The sequence below is a fragment of the Homo sapiens genome, chromosome 6 (genome assembly GCF_000001405.40).
Source record: "Homo sapiens chromosome 6, GRCh38.p14 Primary Assembly".
Classification (NCBI taxonomy): Eukaryota; Metazoa; Chordata; class Mammalia; order Primates; family Hominidae; genus Homo; species Homo sapiens.
This window is the reverse complement of record NC_000006.12, coordinates 12,118,820-12,137,048: the sequence shown is the minus strand read 5'-3', so window position 1 is coordinate 12,137,048 and position 18,229 is coordinate 12,118,820. Positions and strand designations below refer to the sequence as shown.

General features: G+C 38.9%; 1 protein-coding gene across 18 annotated transcripts in view, besides 4 other annotated features; it reads right to left on the bottom strand.

Annotated features, from left to right (window-relative positions):
- The window catches only part of HIVEP1 (HIVEP zinc finger 1), a 204,356-nt gene that overhangs the window by 75,000 nt on the left and 111,127 nt on the right, over positions 1 to 18,229 (bottom strand). For 13 of the 18 annotated variants that reach the window (XR_007059258.1, XR_007059259.1, XR_007059260.1 and 10 more), the window contains 4 exons: positions 11,179 to 17,159; positions 7,157 to 7,290; positions 6,107 to 6,282; positions 1,157 to 1,258 (listed from right to left, as the gene is read on the bottom strand). Coding sequence is in view for 15 of the 18 variants with exons in the window: in XM_047418699.1 (XP_047274655.1) it covers positions 1,157 to 1,258; positions 6,107 to 6,282; positions 7,157 to 7,290; positions 11,179 to 17,159 (6,393 nt within the window). In the remaining 3 variants the exon portion in view is untranslated. Of the gene's footprint in view, positions 1 to 1,156; positions 1,259 to 6,105; positions 6,283 to 7,156; positions 7,291 to 11,178; positions 17,160 to 18,229 lie in introns of those variants that run through there. The other 5 variants (XM_047418701.1, XM_047418702.1, XM_047418703.1 and 2 more) reach the window with 2 other exon arrangements.
- Positions 17,599 to 17,893: an enhancer, noted in NCBI's record as "tiled region #8641; HepG2 Activating non-DNase unmatched - State 23:Low". NCBI's record gives its function as "activates a minimal TATA promoter and a strong SV40 promoter by Sharpr-MPRA in HepG2 cells {active_cell/tissue: HepG2}" and the evidence as "EXISTENCE:reporter gene assay evidence [ECO:0000049][PMID:27701403]".
- Positions 17,651 to 17,760: an enhancer, noted in NCBI's record as "active region_24010". NCBI's record gives its function as "activates an Ori minimal core promoter by ATAC-STARR-seq in GM12878 lymphoblastoid cells {active_cell/tissue: GM12878}" and the evidence as "EXISTENCE:reporter gene assay evidence [ECO:0000049][PMID:35858748]".
- Positions 17,771 to 17,880: an enhancer, noted in NCBI's record as "active region_24009". NCBI's record gives its function as "activates an Ori minimal core promoter by ATAC-STARR-seq in GM12878 lymphoblastoid cells {active_cell/tissue: GM12878}" and the evidence as "EXISTENCE:reporter gene assay evidence [ECO:0000049][PMID:35858748]".
- Positions 17,911 to 17,960: an enhancer, noted in NCBI's record as "active region_24008". NCBI's record gives its function as "activates an Ori minimal core promoter by ATAC-STARR-seq in GM12878 lymphoblastoid cells {active_cell/tissue: GM12878}" and the evidence as "EXISTENCE:reporter gene assay evidence [ECO:0000049][PMID:35858748]".

Sequence of the window (18,229 nt, the reverse complement as noted above, 5' to 3'; positions counted from 1 at the left end):
TGCCTTTGAATTTTTACCTATATATTCAATGATGTCCTCATCACTTTCTCTTTGGAAATTTTCTCTAGACCAAACTCATACATGTTAAGAAAAATATAGCAAGCACGTAAATGTTTAATTCAGGGCATTTTAAAAAGCAGAATACTTTTTCAATTTTTTTTTTCTTTTGTCAATAAATCCTTGGGTTAAAAACAAGTTTCACAAAAACATATTTCTATTCTCTGATGAGTTAGAACACATGAACAGGTTTATTCTTCCTCAAAATTGGTCAGAGATAAATACTTAAATTTGTTAACACCTTTTAAAAAAAAACAGCCATTTAACCTTTTCGGAATAATAAACACTTTGGAGAAGTAAACAAACGCTTTATTCCACAAATATGGAGCTGCTGAGCAGTGCAAGGCACTGCGCTAAGTGCTTCTGGTGAGCACACGTTAAGCACTCACTGGCTCTGCTCATGACATGCTGAATCACTGTGGTGGGAGCTCAGGTGAGTGCGTGAATAATCTCAGAACAAGAGGGGGATTAAATGCTTTCAGGGAGGAAATTGTAAAATACTAGAGGAGTCCAGAGAAGGGAAGAATTGTTTCCTGCAAGAGGTGTGGAAAAGGAAAATCAGAGAAGGCTTCATGACAGCAGTGGACTTGGCTGGATCTTGAAGGAAAGTGAGATTTTGACCAGGGCACTGGGAGCCACGTTTGTGTGGGGAGTGAGGGCTGGGGTTTTAAGTGAGGGGTGTAAAGGTGAAGAGCGATCAATGTTAAGTAGGCAGGAAATTCAAGCATGAGGGTAGGTAAAAGAGAGAAATGAGAAGGGTAGAGAAGTAGGTAATCAGCAGATTACAAAGGATTTTGATCAAGGTCAAGTGTTCACATTTTATTTTCTAGACAGATGGGAACCGATGAGAACCTCTGAGCAGAGGAGAGGTATGATCAGACACATGCTTCAGAAAGATGAACATCGTGGGGGATAGATGAATAGGAAGGAGGAAGGAGGACAATCTAGACATGGAAAAACTAATTAGGAGTCTACTGCATATAAATAAGAGGTAATGAAAACAGAATTAGGCAGAATCAGTGGGAATGGAAAGGGTATGGAAGCAAAAAAATTGTACATTATAAATAGCATTTATGAAAAATATGGTATAAAGCCTTACCTGATTCTTCTGTATCCTGTTCATCTATTAAACCTACTGAGACGCCTAAATCCACACATTTCTTGCTATGTGCCTTGGACTTCATGTGTTTTGTCAGATTTCCTTAAGGGAAAAGAATGTTTACTAAGCTTAAGTAGTATGATTTTGCTATTGCATTTGTAAACACTGGCAAATTTCATTCCTATTCAAGCAAAAGTACAGATTGTGGTCGTACAACTCCAATGACTAAAATGTGAACAAAAGAAAATTTGGTATCTATATGTTCTAATACCTTGTTATTTATCAGTTTATATTTTCTTTTTAAAATCTGCCTCCTCTACTTTGATAACATCTCCTTTACCTTATGTTTTCTATTCTCTAATCCTTATTTATTTCTTGGGACATTTTATACATACTTAATTTAAAGTCCCGTTCAGACTACACTATGATCTGTAGTTCTTGGAGTGTGAATTCTCCACTTGTTATGACTGCTGGCTCTTTCTCATTTGTTTCTTTGCATGCTTTTTACTTTTAATTGTAAGTTTATCCTCAGCAAGATTGTTTTCCATGGAATCCTAAGTACCCTGGGTTGCAGAAACATCTCTATAAAGCAGTTTTCCAATTGCTTCTGCCTGGGACCTTAACAGTTTCATTGGCTTCAGACAACTGACTCTGGGCCAGTTTTTTTGTTTGTTTTTGCATGGTATAGATATAGGGTTTTACTTTTAAGCGGTTAGGGTTTTTCCCACATGGCCCAAAGTCACTGGACAGGAGGACTAGGCTTATTTCAGGAACCTCAGATGCTATCTCAGGACAGGTAAGCCTGTAGGCATATATCTGGCCTCGATTCCCATAAGGCCTTTTAATTTTTTTGTTAGTATCTGTTCACCATGTTAGCTTTGAGCTTCTTTTTTCTGGTACCTTGGAATTCACCTTTTAAAGTTTCAAGCTTGACTATGAAAAACTATTTTGGGTCATTGTAATTTTATAAACAGTATTTCTGGAATAAGAGAAAGCATTTCCTGTATTAATTTCATTTCACATACAGAGTATAAGTCTCAAAATAGTACCAGTAAAGGAGTGTTTCCTCTGGCAGCTGTTGTATCGACCTCTTTAAGTATGACCATGCTAGCTGAGAACCACTAGCACACCTGCCTCAAGTGATCACTGAATCCAGGGGAAACAGCTCATATTCTTCTGAGGATAACAAGCATCTCCAGTGGATAATGCCATACACAAAAGCATTGCCAACAAGGGCAAGTCATCTTTTTTGAGAAACAAAAACAACTCTAAATGTTGAATTTAGTGGGCAGAGGCAAAGTAGTATTTGAGAATAAGTCTTTAGAAGAGCTCAAAATGTCTGAATCATTGGTCCAAATTTCGGGCTTGCAGTAGCCGAAGCACATGGAAAATAGCTATATCTATTCAATTTCCTGATAAATGCACTAAGCCTGTGAAACTGGTCATCCCTGTACAAGCTGATTCTTGCACTACATAGTACATTCTTGTCTCAGCCAACCACGCAGGACCCCAGAGCTTAGTACTTAAGGAGGTCAGGCTTAAGAGGATGCCGAGACCAGATGATGGCTAAGGTCCATCAAACCCTGACTTCTGTGATTCTGGAGATAACACCTGGATTAACACTTGGCTATCTCTGATATTTACATTAAATATACTGAAAAAAATATGAAGCAAATATGGCAAAATCTTAGCAATTATTAAAAGATTATGCACACAATGGTGTTCATTATACAGATCTCTACTTTTATGTGACAGCTTTAAAGTTTTCACATTAAGAAATTATAAAAATGGTTTAGATATCTTACTGTGGTTGAAATTTCCACTTGTAAGTCAAAATGTTTTCAGTGTGTTAATACTAACAATATTACAAACCAAATTATAAGGTCCACTATAGTCCTCTTTTTTTTTTTTTTGGTTGAGACGGAGTCTTACTGTTGCCCAGGCTGGAGTGCAGTGGCGAGATCTCAGCTCACTGCAACCTCCATCTCCCGGGTTCAAGCCATTCTTTTGCCTCAGCCTCCCAGGTAGCTGGGATTACAGGCGCCTGCCACTGCGCCAGGCTAATTTTTTGTATTTTAGTTAAGACGGGGTTTCACCATGTTGCCCAGGCTCAATCTCCTGACCTCAGGCAATCTGCCTGCCTTGGCCTCCCAAAGTGCTAGGATTACAGGTGTGAGCCACCGCACCTGGCCCTCTTTTAAAATGTTTTTGCTCCCTAGATAGACAGCCATTGCAGGTTATTTACTTTTTAAGAAACTAATGTATAATTGTAACTAGACAAATTCAGAAATATAAGTTTTTAGTAAGCATATTTTCTCATAACTTTAGCTATTACTTATTATGAATCAACTTCCTAATGTAAAATAAACAAAAATCTGCATTTCAATATACAAAATATTGAAAGTGTGCCCATATTGAAATGCAAATATCTCCTAGCAATTTTATAAACCTGGTGTTAATTTAATAAATAATTTTTCTGATAGATTTAATAAACATTTATCTGAATCCTCTGGAAAGCATGAGAGGTTTTGTTTCTTGACTCCTAGAGCTACATGCAGTCTAATTTTCTGTGATATAAATGAGACTAAATCTTGCAGAGATACAAGCTCTCTATATGTTTTCTGCTGACTGACCTTTAACGTAGAATCATGAAAACAAATCAATTAAAATTATTTTGAAAATGTACTCACAAAATAAACTCAGAGGGCAAATAATGAATTATGGATTTGTAAGCATTACCATCAGAAGCATCAATTTTTAGCTCTACAGATCATTTTTCTGAGAGCGTTTTGCTGTCTTTGCATACCATATTTATACAGCATGCCATCACATCACTATTTCCTTCTGTTAGTAACCCGACACTTTCAATAATAAGTGGAGTCCTACTGGCTAGTATAGCAAGTAAATCAGAGAAGGTGAAAATCTGGGGCATAATTCAAAAAAAGGTCTACTATTATTTAACTACCTTTAAAAGGTGCTGTGGAATCTGTTTTACATAGATTCACAAAAAGTAGACTTCAAAAAGGAAGCTGACCGTAAAAAAAAGAGAAGTGTCATGCCAAGAAAAGGGAAATCCTGAATTTCTAACATTTTCTTCACCAGTCTCCTTAGCAAGGATAGCCTCCTTCAAATAAATATTTACCATATAATTCCACATGACATCTTACAAAACAACAAATTTAATGCAAATTCAGATATACAGCATATTAGAGATGTGTAAGACATGAAAAGTGCTAACAGGCAATGCTCACTCTTCAGGGGTCATTATGGACTGTCCACCATTTAGTTAACATTTATCTAAAATCTTCGAGTTAATTTCACTAAGATTAATATTTGTGACTCATCATATTTTTCCTTGCCAAGAAATCTCTGTAGTTTCATTTGGTTTACCACATCTAGGTTGTCCTTCCTTTTTTGCCCTTACTTGATAAATATTTTTTAAATAGCCTCATTCTTTTTCTTCTTTCTATTGAGAAATACCCATTTCCCATTGTATCTTGATCTTCTTGTATTTGATAACATCCTTTTGTACATGATAATCTTTTATTAGTAATATTAGCTTTCTAAATATGCTTCTTGTCTCATAAAGGAAGCTAATAGATGTTTCTTAATCATAGGATCAAAATGAGTGAAAAAGCAATAAATTCAGTTAAAAGACCAAAGTACTTTACCCTATCAGAGTCCTCCCTCAGGACCAGGAAGGAAAATCATCCTTAAACTCACCCTCCAATGACAGAGGGAGGTTCTACATCACAATTAAAAAACTGCATCCTGAGTATCCCTCCCAACCTCTCTCATTTCTTGAAACTTTTTTGAAATATTCAAAGCCATATGAAGAATATTTTGTTTTTCCATCATTCTTGTTTCAGACACCACTGGCACTTAAAGAGTACTAATTTGAAGCATGTAGTTGTTACAAGTTATAACTCTCTTTAAATGCCCATAAATACTAGCCAAAAAATGTAATAAATTTTGCTAAGAAGTTGATCAATCTTTAAAACAAAAACTGCAAAGACAACCAGCATAAGAAAAAAGTAAATGTTAACTCAAAGGATAAAAGTTGTTTCTATTTTTAAAAATCAATTAATTTTTTTTTTTTTTTTTTTTTTTTTTACTGTTTTCTCAGACATGTTTTCACGATTACCTTGCTTTGTTAAAGAGAGATCTTTGGTTTTTAGAGAGTGGCATATAAAATTAAAATCTCAAGTAATAAATTGTTCATGAATAAGGAGCCTGACGGAGGAAGCAAACATTTAAAGTAGTATACCTATTATATGTATCAAGAAACTTGTACAGGGCAAAATTAACTATGAGTGAGGCTTATAAATAAAAACATATTTAAAAAACCAGAAAGGGTCCTAAATATAATTTTAATGATTAGTTCTGAGACTTCTTTATAAACATTAATAGAAACTATAGAAAATTTTTGAAGCTAAAATTTAACAGTATTTATGTAAAAAAAAGCATTGTGAAAAAAAATGGCTATGTATTCCTAAAATCAGACAATAAAACAGAAGTGTAATTATTATAGAAGTTTACTGTAGTTATTATTTTAAATCTTTCTTCAATCTTTTAGCACCCAGCGAATTTACTTGTGATCATGAAAATTTCTTTTTATTCTTCAGCCCCAAATTAAATATTCTTGAAAAGGTATATTAGTCATCATGTTGTACAACTGCAATTTAAGGAGTTAAGTTTTTTAAAAAGGGCAGTTGCTCTTTTAAAAATATTATATTTATTATATATTTATTCTAAAAGTGTACAATTAAAAACTTTTCCCAATGGGTCTAAAATCATATAAAGTAATAAGACTACAACATTGACAAGATGTAATTGACATTAGTCTATTTAAGCTGCTATTTCATCGGTCAAAGAAAACGCACAGTTGGGTTTTAGCTTTCCCACCTAAATACATATTAAAAGGACCTTGAAGCAATGTGCATCTCATACCTTTAGTCTTAAAGGAGAAGTTACAGTAAGTGCAGTGGTAGGGGCGGACATCTGTATGGGTTCGTATGTGTTTCTTTAACATGCTAGGTTTCTTACAACGTATTCCACATTCTTCACAAATGTATTTTCCTCTTCCCCTGCCTCGGACATATACATACTCTTCATTTGACTTATATCTAATTTAAAGAAAAAAAATGAATAGGGAGATTGGACACTATGCCTCTGAGAAAATATTGATGATTAAAATTCAACCCAAAGATAAAACAAGGCACAACTTTTATACTCAACCAATAACAATTTTATGCATGTGTAACAGAATATTCCAGCTTTTTACATCAACACTTAATATAGCTAATTCTAATCAAACAAACTTTTGCAATATTATATTTTGTTTTGTTTTTTTTTTAGAGACAGTCTTGCTCCATTGCCCAGGCTGGAGCCCAGTGGTGTGATTGTAGCTCAATGAAGCCTCAACCTCCCGGGCTCACATGATCCTCCCGCCTCAGCCTCCCGAACAGCTGGGACTACAGGCGCGCACCACTGCGCTGCACTACTGCATGTAATTTTAAAATACTTCCCTGTTTCCAAGTCATTGGTTAAAATTTGTTCTTCTTTGCTAAATTCAACCACAATAATTTTAAGTACTGAAATATTTTGGAGCTTTACTATAACTATAATTGGCTTTTATGATGTTTTTGTTCACAACAAAATACACAAAGATATCTAATGGGCAATGAATTCATCTGAGAGCAGATTCTCTAGGTCATTCCTTACTGTAAATCAATGTGAAAACCAAGGTTCACTCTAATAATTTAGTTTTTAGCTGCCTTCAAGGTTGTACAGTATTTCCCAAATAGTCATCATTTCTCCATCAAAATAAAATGATTTAACATAATGTTAACATATTTTGCTATGGAGATTCTGTTAATATGCTGAGAAACCTTGCAACATCGATACTAAATTGGCACTAAGTCTTCATTCACATGAAAGCAAATGTACATTTAAAAAGTCAGTTTAAATGTACATTTAAGAAGTAAAATTTGTACTTGCCCTCCATCAAATATTTTAATTCTTCTTGGTTCACTTTTGATTAAGGAATTTTCTTTATCTTGCTCACTGTTAATTTCAGAGGCATCTTTATTGCTGAATTCAACTACTGTGGACTTTTGATTACCTAATGCTCTCTGAAAGGAAAAAAGAGAGAAACTAATTTAATAAAACTGAAAACACAAGCATGCTAATCTTTCACTGGAAATTAAAACATGGCAGAGTACAGAGCATATGGTCAACGAAATGCATTTCAAAGTAGTAATAGGTTCAAAGGGCATTTACTTTATCTCCTCCCTTATGAATCTGTCTCAATCACAGCAAACTGATAAATCTTATGTTAATTTAAAATTCCACCACAGTTCACTGACACCCCCAAATAAAGGCTTTACAACCTCCTATACCATGGTATTTCTTAAGTTTAACAGAAACTTTTTTTAGTAGACTAAATATTTTTTCTTCCATTTAACCAGCCACTCATACTACCATTTAAGTACATTTCTTAAAGAGTTTACTTTTGGAGATGGAAAAGAGCTAGCTACTCCTTTTGGTAAAATAATGCCTCATACCCATTAGAAACATCATTAAGTCTCCTTCAGCTTCAGTGCATTATAAGGTAAAGCAGAAGCCCCATTTCCCAATATTTTACTTTTTCTTCCTCCATTATTTTAAATCATAAATCTTTTTTGACATGGGGTCTTACTATTGCCCAGGCTGGAGTGCAGTAGTACAATCATAGCTCACTGCAGCCTCAAACTCCTGGGCTCAAGAGGTCCTCCCACCTCAGCCTCCTGAGTAGCTAGGACCACAGGCCTGAGCCACCACACCTGGCTACCTTTAAAATTTTATAGAAATGGGGGTCTTGCTCTGTTGCACCGACCAGTCTTATACTCCTGACCTCAAGTGATCCTCCCACCTCAGCCACCCAAAGTGCTGGGATTACAGGCATGAGCCACCATGCCCAGCTAAAACCATAATTCTTTCTATCTTCTCAAAAGTTTACTGAATACTGATAAATGTGGCATCCAGGTCTAGCCAAAAAGTTAGGTTTTGGCTTGGTAACAATTAAGTCTCTGGAAAAAAGGTAACGAACGTCAAAATCAAAATGATAAACGATGTGTGGTTTTCCTATAGGAACAATATAATAATATAATACCACCTTATGATTTTATGTAAGATTTTATGCTACTACCCATTTGATAGTATGTTGTCTCACTTATAGTGCCATTCCATTCTCTCAGGTCCCTGTGAGGCAGGCAGCACAGGTGGACTATATATCCCAGTGAGGAAGGACGCTCTCAGGGTGAAGTTCCTTGTCCCAGGTCAAGTGTTAAGTAAAGGCTCAAACTCTAATCCTCTGGCTGAATCCAACGCAACGCACAACTTTTCCTACCAAGGGCTTCTTTTATACAAACCTCCTTTAAGAAATTACATTGTCAAGCAGACAGCTGTGGTGCTGAAATGACTTAATAATACTAAGAGATAAGAGTCTGTTCATTATGGAGAGGGGTATGTGTGGCCTCAGAATAGTACCTTGGGAGGCCCATCCTTACACAGGCAGGAGGAAAGAAAAGCTGCTGGCCCATGTTCCTCAAAAAGGCAGAGGGAAGAGCTACTGATGCAACCTTTCCTTCTCTTTTCCTGGCAAACAGATTGGCTTCCGCATAATTTAGAATATATGCACACACCTTCCTTTGACTTTATCCCTTTAACAGTAATCCTCTTTATTTTCAATATCAAATTCCCCTTTATCTTTTGCTCACTTTCGTACTATTAAATCTGGCTTCTACTTGCCAAAGTTATCAATGAGCTAAATGCCAAAATCTTAGTCTTTACATGCTTGAGCACTCTATGTATTGTATGTTGAAAATGCCATGTTTTGCCTAGAAATCCTTTTACTTTATAGCATCTATCTGTTCTTTCCCATTGTGAATCATAAATGCATTAACATTTGAGTTGTGGATAAAAGCCCAGTAATCCATGCTCCATAGCCACTTGCTCATAGACTCAACTCTCCAGTGATCTGCGCAGTCCAGATATACCCATTTGCCTTCAACTTTATTTGACCTAACAACTCTCCTTGAATATCTTCTTCTGTGTTTTGTGTGATGCCACTTTCTGCTCATTCTTATCCTTCCTCTATGATCAAACTCTTTCAGTTTCCATACAGGAGTGTGGACTTTCTTCAACCATTCAACTTTTTAAATAGTAGTGATCCCCAGTATCCAGTCTAGGCTCTCTCCTCTTCTTTATACCCTGAGCAATCTCATTAATCACACCTATGCACTAAAGAATCTCTACTCTACACAAAAGAATCTCTACTCTACACACTTCCATCCAGAGCTCTCTCCTAAGCTCCAAATCTAGATATGCATTTCCAGACATTTCTTCCAAGGCATTTGGTACTCAAGGAGAGCCACTTCTCTTCTCCACAAACACTTCAGGAACATACACGGAGTTTTGTTTAAATTCTAACTATTAGGTCTTAACTTCCAAGATTTAGTAGATTTAGAGCCTGAGAACTTAACAAATTCCACAGGTGGTTTGGATGCACTTTCCTTCACTGAGAAAGTATCATTGGTTCTCCACCACCATACACATGATTTGATTTTTACCTATGTTTCCAAATTATAACTCTTTTTAACCAGGCCAGACTCTTCAGAGTTCTTTAAATGAACCAAGTTTATTCTCATTTCCATGTCATTTCGTGTATTATTAATTTTTTTTTTTATTCTTGCTGGGCGCGGTGGCTCACACCTGTAATCCCAGCACTTTGGGAGGCCAAGATGGGTGAATCATCTGAGGTCAGGAGTTCAAGACCAGCTTGGCCAAACCAGACATGGCGAAACTCTGTCTCTACCAAAAATACAAAAAGCCAGGCGTGGTGGTGGGCACCTGTAATCCCAGCTACTCAGGAGGCTGAGACAGGAGGGTTGCTTGAACCCGGGAGGGGAGGATGCAATGAGCCAAGAGCGCACCATTGCACTCCAGCCTGGGTGACAGAGTGAGATTCTGTCTCGAAAAAAAAAGCTGCTTCTTCTTTGCCTGAAAAATCCCTATTTTTTTAAAAAAAATTTGAACAGTTAGCTAAAGTATCACCACCTTTGGAGTATGTTTGCTGAATTCTTCTCTCTTCCACCTACCAGTAATGTTAGAAACTTCCTTCTTTAGAATTGTTCATAATTCTATGGTAATACTGATACTGCAGTATTTTCCTACTGACAGATTTGTAAATGTTTATTAACCTGTGTTGCATGCTTATGAATCTGCAGAGGCCAAATACTTCTGAATATGCAGAGTCGAACGTGATATGCTTACCTATTATTCTAATCAAGTAAATGACTTTTTCCCATTTTATAAAGCTGATAATTCTAATGAGACTGATTCCACAAATTACCCCAAGTTACAGTTTCATGACCTTAAATTACTTTATAAATCTTGACCAAATCAACTTACCAAGTATATGAATTATTTTGTGAAACTTCTCTCTAGTGCTAATGGTTCTCACAGCTACACTGGAAGACAGCTACATAGCATGACAGGGGCGTGTAGCTAGTAAGCTCAAGACAAGTCTAAATGGCTTTCTGCTTATATTTCAGGATGAAATACAACTATCTTTGATTATCTACACCTGTTTCCCTGCATGAGGAGGAACAAAGCATAACCATGATTTCCTTTCACTTAACAAGAAAAACAAAACCTCAATATAAGTAAAACATCAAAGTAAAACCATGATCATCTGTACTACTAAGTAAAGACTTATATAGTTAGCTGAGAAAAAGAAAAGTGCTCAGGGTAAATCATTTCTAAAATCTTTCAAGATAGAATCACTGCAAGACTCTTGGTAACTCTTATCAATGTAACTCCTGGGGTAAATATATCACCCTGTCTTTCAAATAAGACATTTACAGCACAATTTGTCACTCAAAATTAAAATATTTCCAGTTAAAATATTTAAAGGTATCAAGACACATGGAAACAAATTTGCGCAAACCATATCTGAAGATAAATTATATTTCAAGTACCTTGCTTAAGCTGCTTTTCCACTTGCTTGAATAGACCAATAAGTCTGACTTGGAATGGGTAGTTATTGCTTGACAGTATAGTGATTTTCCAGTGTTCTGTTTTGAATTAAGGAGAGCAAGTGCAACTTTTGTGGGCAAACCGAGTGGATTTGGATTACTGGCGCTTACTGTCCAATCAGTATAGGCTGAAGTTTTCTGGTCCTTCTGAGGCAAATGCAACGACTTCTGCCTTAAGAGATAACACCATGTAAAGTTGGTTGTAGTTTTCAGGCTAGGGAAAGCCAGCTGCTGGGTGTCCTTGATGTTAAACAATGAAAGAGAAGTGACTGGCTGTTGACTTTGCTCTTGGATGTTCACTTTGTCACCTTGATTTTTAACCCCTGGAGACTTCCTTTCTTGGTTATTGTCTGTACATTTCAAAGGAGAAATATGAGTATTTTCTGAAGGAGCAGGTGAACTTCGAACTGTAAGAGTTAATGATGTGGATGACTTGATGTTTTCAAATTCCTGCAATTCACTTATAGGTTCTATAACGACAAATTTAGAGCATCCTGTTGATGAATTATCAGCTGGTAAAACATTTGTCAAATTAACAGCCTCATTACTAATTTCAGGTTGAGAAAAAACATCCTTTTCCAACATCACACCGTCCAGGGGCTCTGTAGTACAAACCTGTCTCACTAAAATAGGCTTCTTCTGTTTACTAGCTTCATTAACTCTCGAACTCAAAGCCTCTAAAGGTCTCACGTCTGTTGCACAAACAGCTCCATTTTCATCTTTGGCCCGCTTCTGGTGCTTTTCCATGGCAATGTCTAAACTATTTGCTGGGGAAAGCATCCTTTTACTCGAAGCTGAAGATTCTTGTTGAGGGGAAAGTCGACCAACAGATATTTTCTGAGTTATGGGCAAGGATTCTGATAGAGAAGAATTTTGGCTCATCTCTGAAAAAACATTTTCACATAGAAATTCCTTCTCTGGGTTTGGCAAAGCATTCTGATGACCTTTTTGTAATGTTGGCACAGAATTTTGTTCTTCACTGATTGGCACTACACTATGATTAGTCTGGCAAATTGGCTGATTGGGCAGATCTTGGGTCACTAGTATTTGTGGCAGGGATGTGAGTGTAGCAAAACAGTAAGCAGGAACACTACTCTGCAGGCGTATGGGCAGCATGAATGATGATGGCACCTTCTGCACCTGACTTCCAAGGGGCCTGAGCTCTGGTGGTAGCAGAGGATGCGAATTAGACATGCTGTCAATTAATTTGGTTGGTAATGTTGCTGATGTCACACAATGATCTGTTCCAACTGGATCTGAAATAACTTGATTTGGCAAAGAATGCACAGGATTAGAAGAGCAAGATGGGCCTGAAGTGAAAACCTGACAATGCAATTGGTATTTGGGAGCAAAGCAATCCTCACTTTTAGAAGACCCAGATAAAACAGAATTTTTATCTGGCTTGCTACCCTGCGTAGACACTTGCAGAGATAGCTGTGTGCTCTGGTGGCTAGGCGGTGCATGGATTTGATTTAACAAATTGATATCACAGAGCTGTTGAACAGGAAAAACGTTGGTAGAGCTGGAGTTTGATGTTTCTGCCTGCAGATCCTTAACCTGAGTCTGAGAGTGCAAAGTATTTGCAGAAAACTCAGCTAAAGATGTACTAGTGAGCTGAGGCCCCTGATATGGCACTGCATTCACACTGGGAAGAGCAGTATTTTGGAAAGATGTTGGGTGTACAGGAGACAGATGACTATCTGGGGCTATGTTTAAAGATATTTGCCGTACCAGTGGGCCTCTCCTTCTTTCTAAGAGAGGCACATGCCCAGTCACTCCCACTCGAGAAGGTGAAGATGGAGGCTGCAATTCAGTAAGTGGTGTTGTCTGGGGTGGGGTGATGCTTCCACAATCGAATGATTTGCTTCTGAGATCAGAGACCTCCATTGACGTTTGCGTGCAATTAATCTGTTCTGATGCAGTACGCCTCATTTCCCGGTGACATCCAGGAACATTCAGAGTATTCAAGCCAGCTGGAATCATAAGAAACTCGGCTTTATTTAGAAAATCGATTTTGGGGGAAGCCTCCGTTTTAGAAACGTCCTCTATGTCTAAAGAGGCTGAGAAACTTGAAGTGTGAGATAAACTGCTCTCCCTACTTAGACTCCTGGAGAGAGTGGAATCAAAGCTCGATTCTGTTGAGGAATGTTCTATCTCAGCCAGACGGAGCCTTTTCTTTTTGGGTGGCAGTTTCTCTGTTGGCAATTTTGACAAGGTTTCACTACGCTGGGGCCAACTGAACTTCTCTGACTTTTCTTGATCATGGCATTGAGCTTCCAGGTCTCGATCTGGTTCTTCTGTGACCAAAATCTCTGGAACTTGGATGTTGTGCTGCCGGACAAGTCTTGAGGGCTGTCCTAACACATGTCGTTCACTTGGACTCTTTCTGGAGCTTTCCTGAAGTTCTCCTCTGAGAGCGTCTGATAGTGCAAGCTGGTGAGGATGAGACCCGTCCCGAGAAGGGTGACTTTCCTCTTGGGAGATTCCTATCACTTTTAGAGACCCGGACTTCCCCGTTCTATTCAGCTCCTGGAAAGAAACTGGGGAGGCTCTTTCAAAAGGCTCAGGCTTGTCAAATGAGTTGGGCCTGCTCAGGGAGTTGGTGTGCTGGATGACAGAGATTCCAGTTCCGTGTCTCTGCAGTTCTATCTTGTCCTGGGCTGCTGAACTTATCTGTTGTTCCATGATGGTCGACAGCTTGGGATCCATGGTCTGCTCAGGGCCCCTGGCAACAAGGTGAATATGGGAGTTTTGCAACTGTATATTTTTATGCTGCTGGTCACTTCTTATGGTAACATTATGTTTAGGCAAACTGGGATTACAGCCCAGAGCATTCTGAAACTGAAGGCCTTCAGAACTTTTTGGAGATGTTCCACTTTCATTTTGCTGAAGTTCTTCATCATCCCCAACACTTTTCATTTTCCTCCTTTTTCTTATCTGGGGCGTCTGTTCCCAGATGCCGGAGGACCCAGCGACTCTGTAGTGTAGAATCTGAGGCTGCAGACCGCCGGGCACAGGGCTGTGCTCAGGTTCTCTCATGGCTACCTTTGTTTTTGGTCCATGTAACTCAGAACAGTAAAATTTCTTATGATTTTCAAAATTTTCCAGTTTCCTATACCTGTTTCTACAAGTTTCACACTCAAACATTGTCCCTCGCCCTTGATGAGACTTCTTTTTTTCTATATGTGGGCCTTGTGCCAGTGCCTTGCTCCTCACTGACATGGCTTCACCAGCAGCATGGCATCCTTGGTGGCTCTCATCCAGGGACTGTCCAGTACCAAGAACATGACTTTCATTTGCTGAAGAGTCTTCTATGGCTGCTTGTCTCACAAGTGTACGGGGATGCCCACTCTGGGGCACAGGAGCGTTAGGTCCCGATACAAAGACATCATCATAGAAAGCGCCAATTTTGTCATCAAATGACTGACTTCCTCTTAGTGGATGAGGAGGAGGTATTATATTTGCAGGTACTGCTGAATAACCTGTGGTCGGCATGGAATTACTTCTTGTGATAGGTAAACAGTCAAGTGAAGGTACAGACAGAAGAAACACTTGCTTTGATTTTTCAGTAGGGGTGAAAGGTGACTTCGGTATATCAGAGCTTGAACTTGTTCTCCGTCCCACTGGTTTTAAATCAAACTGGAAAGAATCTTTAAATATGTATGATTTGGGGGAATCAATGCTTCCTCGTCTTGACAGTGAGGTTCTCCGCGGCTTCACACTATCCAGTTGCTTGTCATCTACCAAAGCTTCATTGTCTGAGATAAGCTTCGATATCCGCTCCTCAAGTGTTTTTGTGGCCAAAGGTGGGCGCATCTGACCTGGTAAAAGCAATGCCTTTTCCCCTGTGGGCAAAGCAGAGGGTGTTGACGTGGTGACAAGAGCTGCAGAGGGTCCGTTACTCCTTCCAGAGTCTTGTTCTGTGCTGGGTAACCTTCTGGCAAAGGGAGTTGGTGGACTCACTGTTTGATCGGCACTTTCAGAACGTGAAAAGTAACCAGAATCCGTACTTCCTAAACTTCGAGGACTCAGGAGCTTTCCTTGCTGCTCTTGGGAGTAATCGGTAGCCTGCTGCCTTTGTAGCTGGGCGTGTACCGTTCCTACGTGAGAGTCTTGCTTTCCTTCCAGTGGATTCATGTCGCCTTTCTGGTGGGAATTCTCATTAGTCTCCAACCTGGAGACTCCACCCTGGGACATGTTGGCTGAAAGTGGCTGTACGTTTGTCACCTGAAGGTCCTTCTGCTTTTGTGCACTAGAAAGTTCAGGCTTGGGATCCATGGCCTTTGGACTGTCAGTTCTTAAGGGGGACACAGTGACATGGTGGACCACAACTTTCGGTAACTCTGTCACAGCTTGTGATTCTGCAGATCTGTCCTGTAGCAAAAAGTCACCTATCACATTTTCTGGACTGCTTGGAGTGAAGCTTGATTTTAGTAAAGTTTCAGCATTTGACATCCTCTTTATTATGTGCACAGGCTGCAGCTCCATGGCGCCCAGGTCATGCTGTCTCTCATCAGTGGCGCCTTCCTCCTCGCTCTCCCCACTGTCTTCTACGTCTGAATGAATACTAAGTGCTTTGGGGGACTCGTGGGACAAGAACAAGCCACCAGCATCTGGTTGCAAGACAAGACCCAGTTTGATAGTATGTGCGTGGGATTTCTTGTGCTTATACAGATTACTTTTAGTCTTAAATGAAAATCCACAAGTCACACAGGGATAGGGTCGCTCTCCAGTGTGGGAGCGGATATGCTTTAAAAGCACACTAGGCTTTGCACATGCTCTATTGCAATACTCACAAATATATTTTCCTTGTTTTTTTGGCTTCTGATCTTTCAGAAGAAGATTGCACATTTGCTCTACGCTTTGATTAACAACAGAGGCAACATGAGTTGAATTATAGATTGGCATGGGGGGCGACTGTGTAGAATTAGCCGGACTTATTGACAAAGGTGAAGCAGAATCCATTTGCTGGTTTTGAGGAGTAACCTGAGATCTACTGGAAGGTGAAGTTAGGCCTACAGATGATGTCACTGCTATATTATAAACCTGTTCAAGTTTGGCATTCTCTTGATTTTGCAGATTTGTCAGTGATCCTGTGAAACCTGAACACCCCGGAAGCTGTTGATTATGTTGGTTGGATTTGGGAACAAAGTGTTCATGTTGATGATACAAATGAGAAGCTGACTGCATTGCCCCTTGCTCATTCTTCTGAGCAGCAGACATATGGACTGTGTATGAGGTACAAGAAGACTGTGATTCAGCAACCAATTCCTGTGAAGTCTGATTTGGGGCATCCATTGAACTGTTTTTTAATTTGGGAGGGGAACGTGCAGTTTTATTTGGCCTCAGTTTTTCTGTCTTAATTGCACAAGGTGAGCCCTTTTGTGACAAGGTGCTCAGTTCTGGCTCCATTGCTTTCAGTAAGACATCGAATGCAGTGTTTGTATAGGAGGGGGACGTAGTGCCACAATGAGAAGAGATGCATTCGCTATTGTCAGTCCTGGTTTTACTTGACAAGGAACTTGAGTCACATTGTTCATCGAGGTCACTGAATTTGGCAGGATCAGCGCCTTCGGATCTCCATCTACGCAGTTCAGATGGTTGCTGCAGAAACAAGGGCTTCTTTGGGGAGACAGATTCTTCAGATTTTGAGGCTTCAGCAATTATTCCAGGTGTTTCTCCATTTTGTTTGGTAAACTGCTTCCCATTTTTTACAGGAATATAATTCTGTTTCTTGTGAGACTCCGAAGCACTATGAAGAACGGCGAAAGATGACTCTTCTGTATTTTGTTTATGTTTTGCCTGAAGAGGATTTCTCAGTGGGGATTTTGGTATTTTTTTCAGGTGATTCTCAGCTACGATCTTTTTGCGTTTCACACCTTTAAGGGATTCCGAAGTTCCTTTAACACCAGCCTGTAAGATTTCTGGAAAAAACAACAACAACAACAAACAATTGGTAACATTGTACATACACCAACTATAATTTTTTGAAAATTAAGATTACTATCATAAGGACATTATGACAAGTGAAGAAAGTATTTAAGGAAAGTCTATTTTTTAAATAAAATTGCACTTCTGCATTCCGGAAATTGAACAATGATGCCAATCAAAATCTATTGAAACACTCATTCAAAGACCTAAGTGTGCATTTCTAGAATGCTTATGTTCCTTTCTTGAATAATCAACATCCTGGAACTAGATCTTTCAAAACTGAATTATCTTTCCCCTTTTCACTATCATACTTAAACAGTGCTCCATGGGGTTAAAGAAACTGGTAACTAACAAGAAGTTTTGAGCTTGTCTTACAGCACTGCAGATAAAGAAACAGCTTGTTAGAACTCCCTCTGCTTGTAACAAAACTGGTTGACTGGTTGAAGCTGGTTGGAACTGGTATGGCTGATTGGGATCTGCACAGAATAGACTTCTTGCCAGATGAGGGACTTTCTGATATCAAAGCCAGTATTTTCACCACAGGTTTCACACCAACTCCCTCCGAATTTGCAAAGGCAACCCATGAGGAAGCACGAAGAGACAACTGTGCCTGCTCAAGGGACTTTCCAAACCTCCCCTCCCTTTCCAACAATCATTAACCAACCCCAAAACTCCTCCTCCAGCATCTCCTCCTTTTATATACTGCTTTAAGCTGGTAAGGGAAGACAGAATTGAGCCCATCTCCTGCATGGCTGCCTTGCCATTAATCTTTCTCTCTATAAAAATCCAGTGATTCAGTGTTTGGCTTTTCATTGTGTGCAGACAAATGGACCTAGATTGGCTTGGTAGCAATACCTGAGGACTCTGTCTACACAACAGTCTGAGAAGGCTGGCCAAAAAGAAGAAAATTCAACCCTTTAATGCTGAGTATTTGACTGTCTTATCTCATTAAGGTTCTTTTAAAACAAACTTTTCAGCAAATTTCTAAGTATGCAAAACTGATATTTTCAGGAGAAAAGGGGCTGCTAATATAATTTCTAGAGCAGACCATAGTCAGGACAGC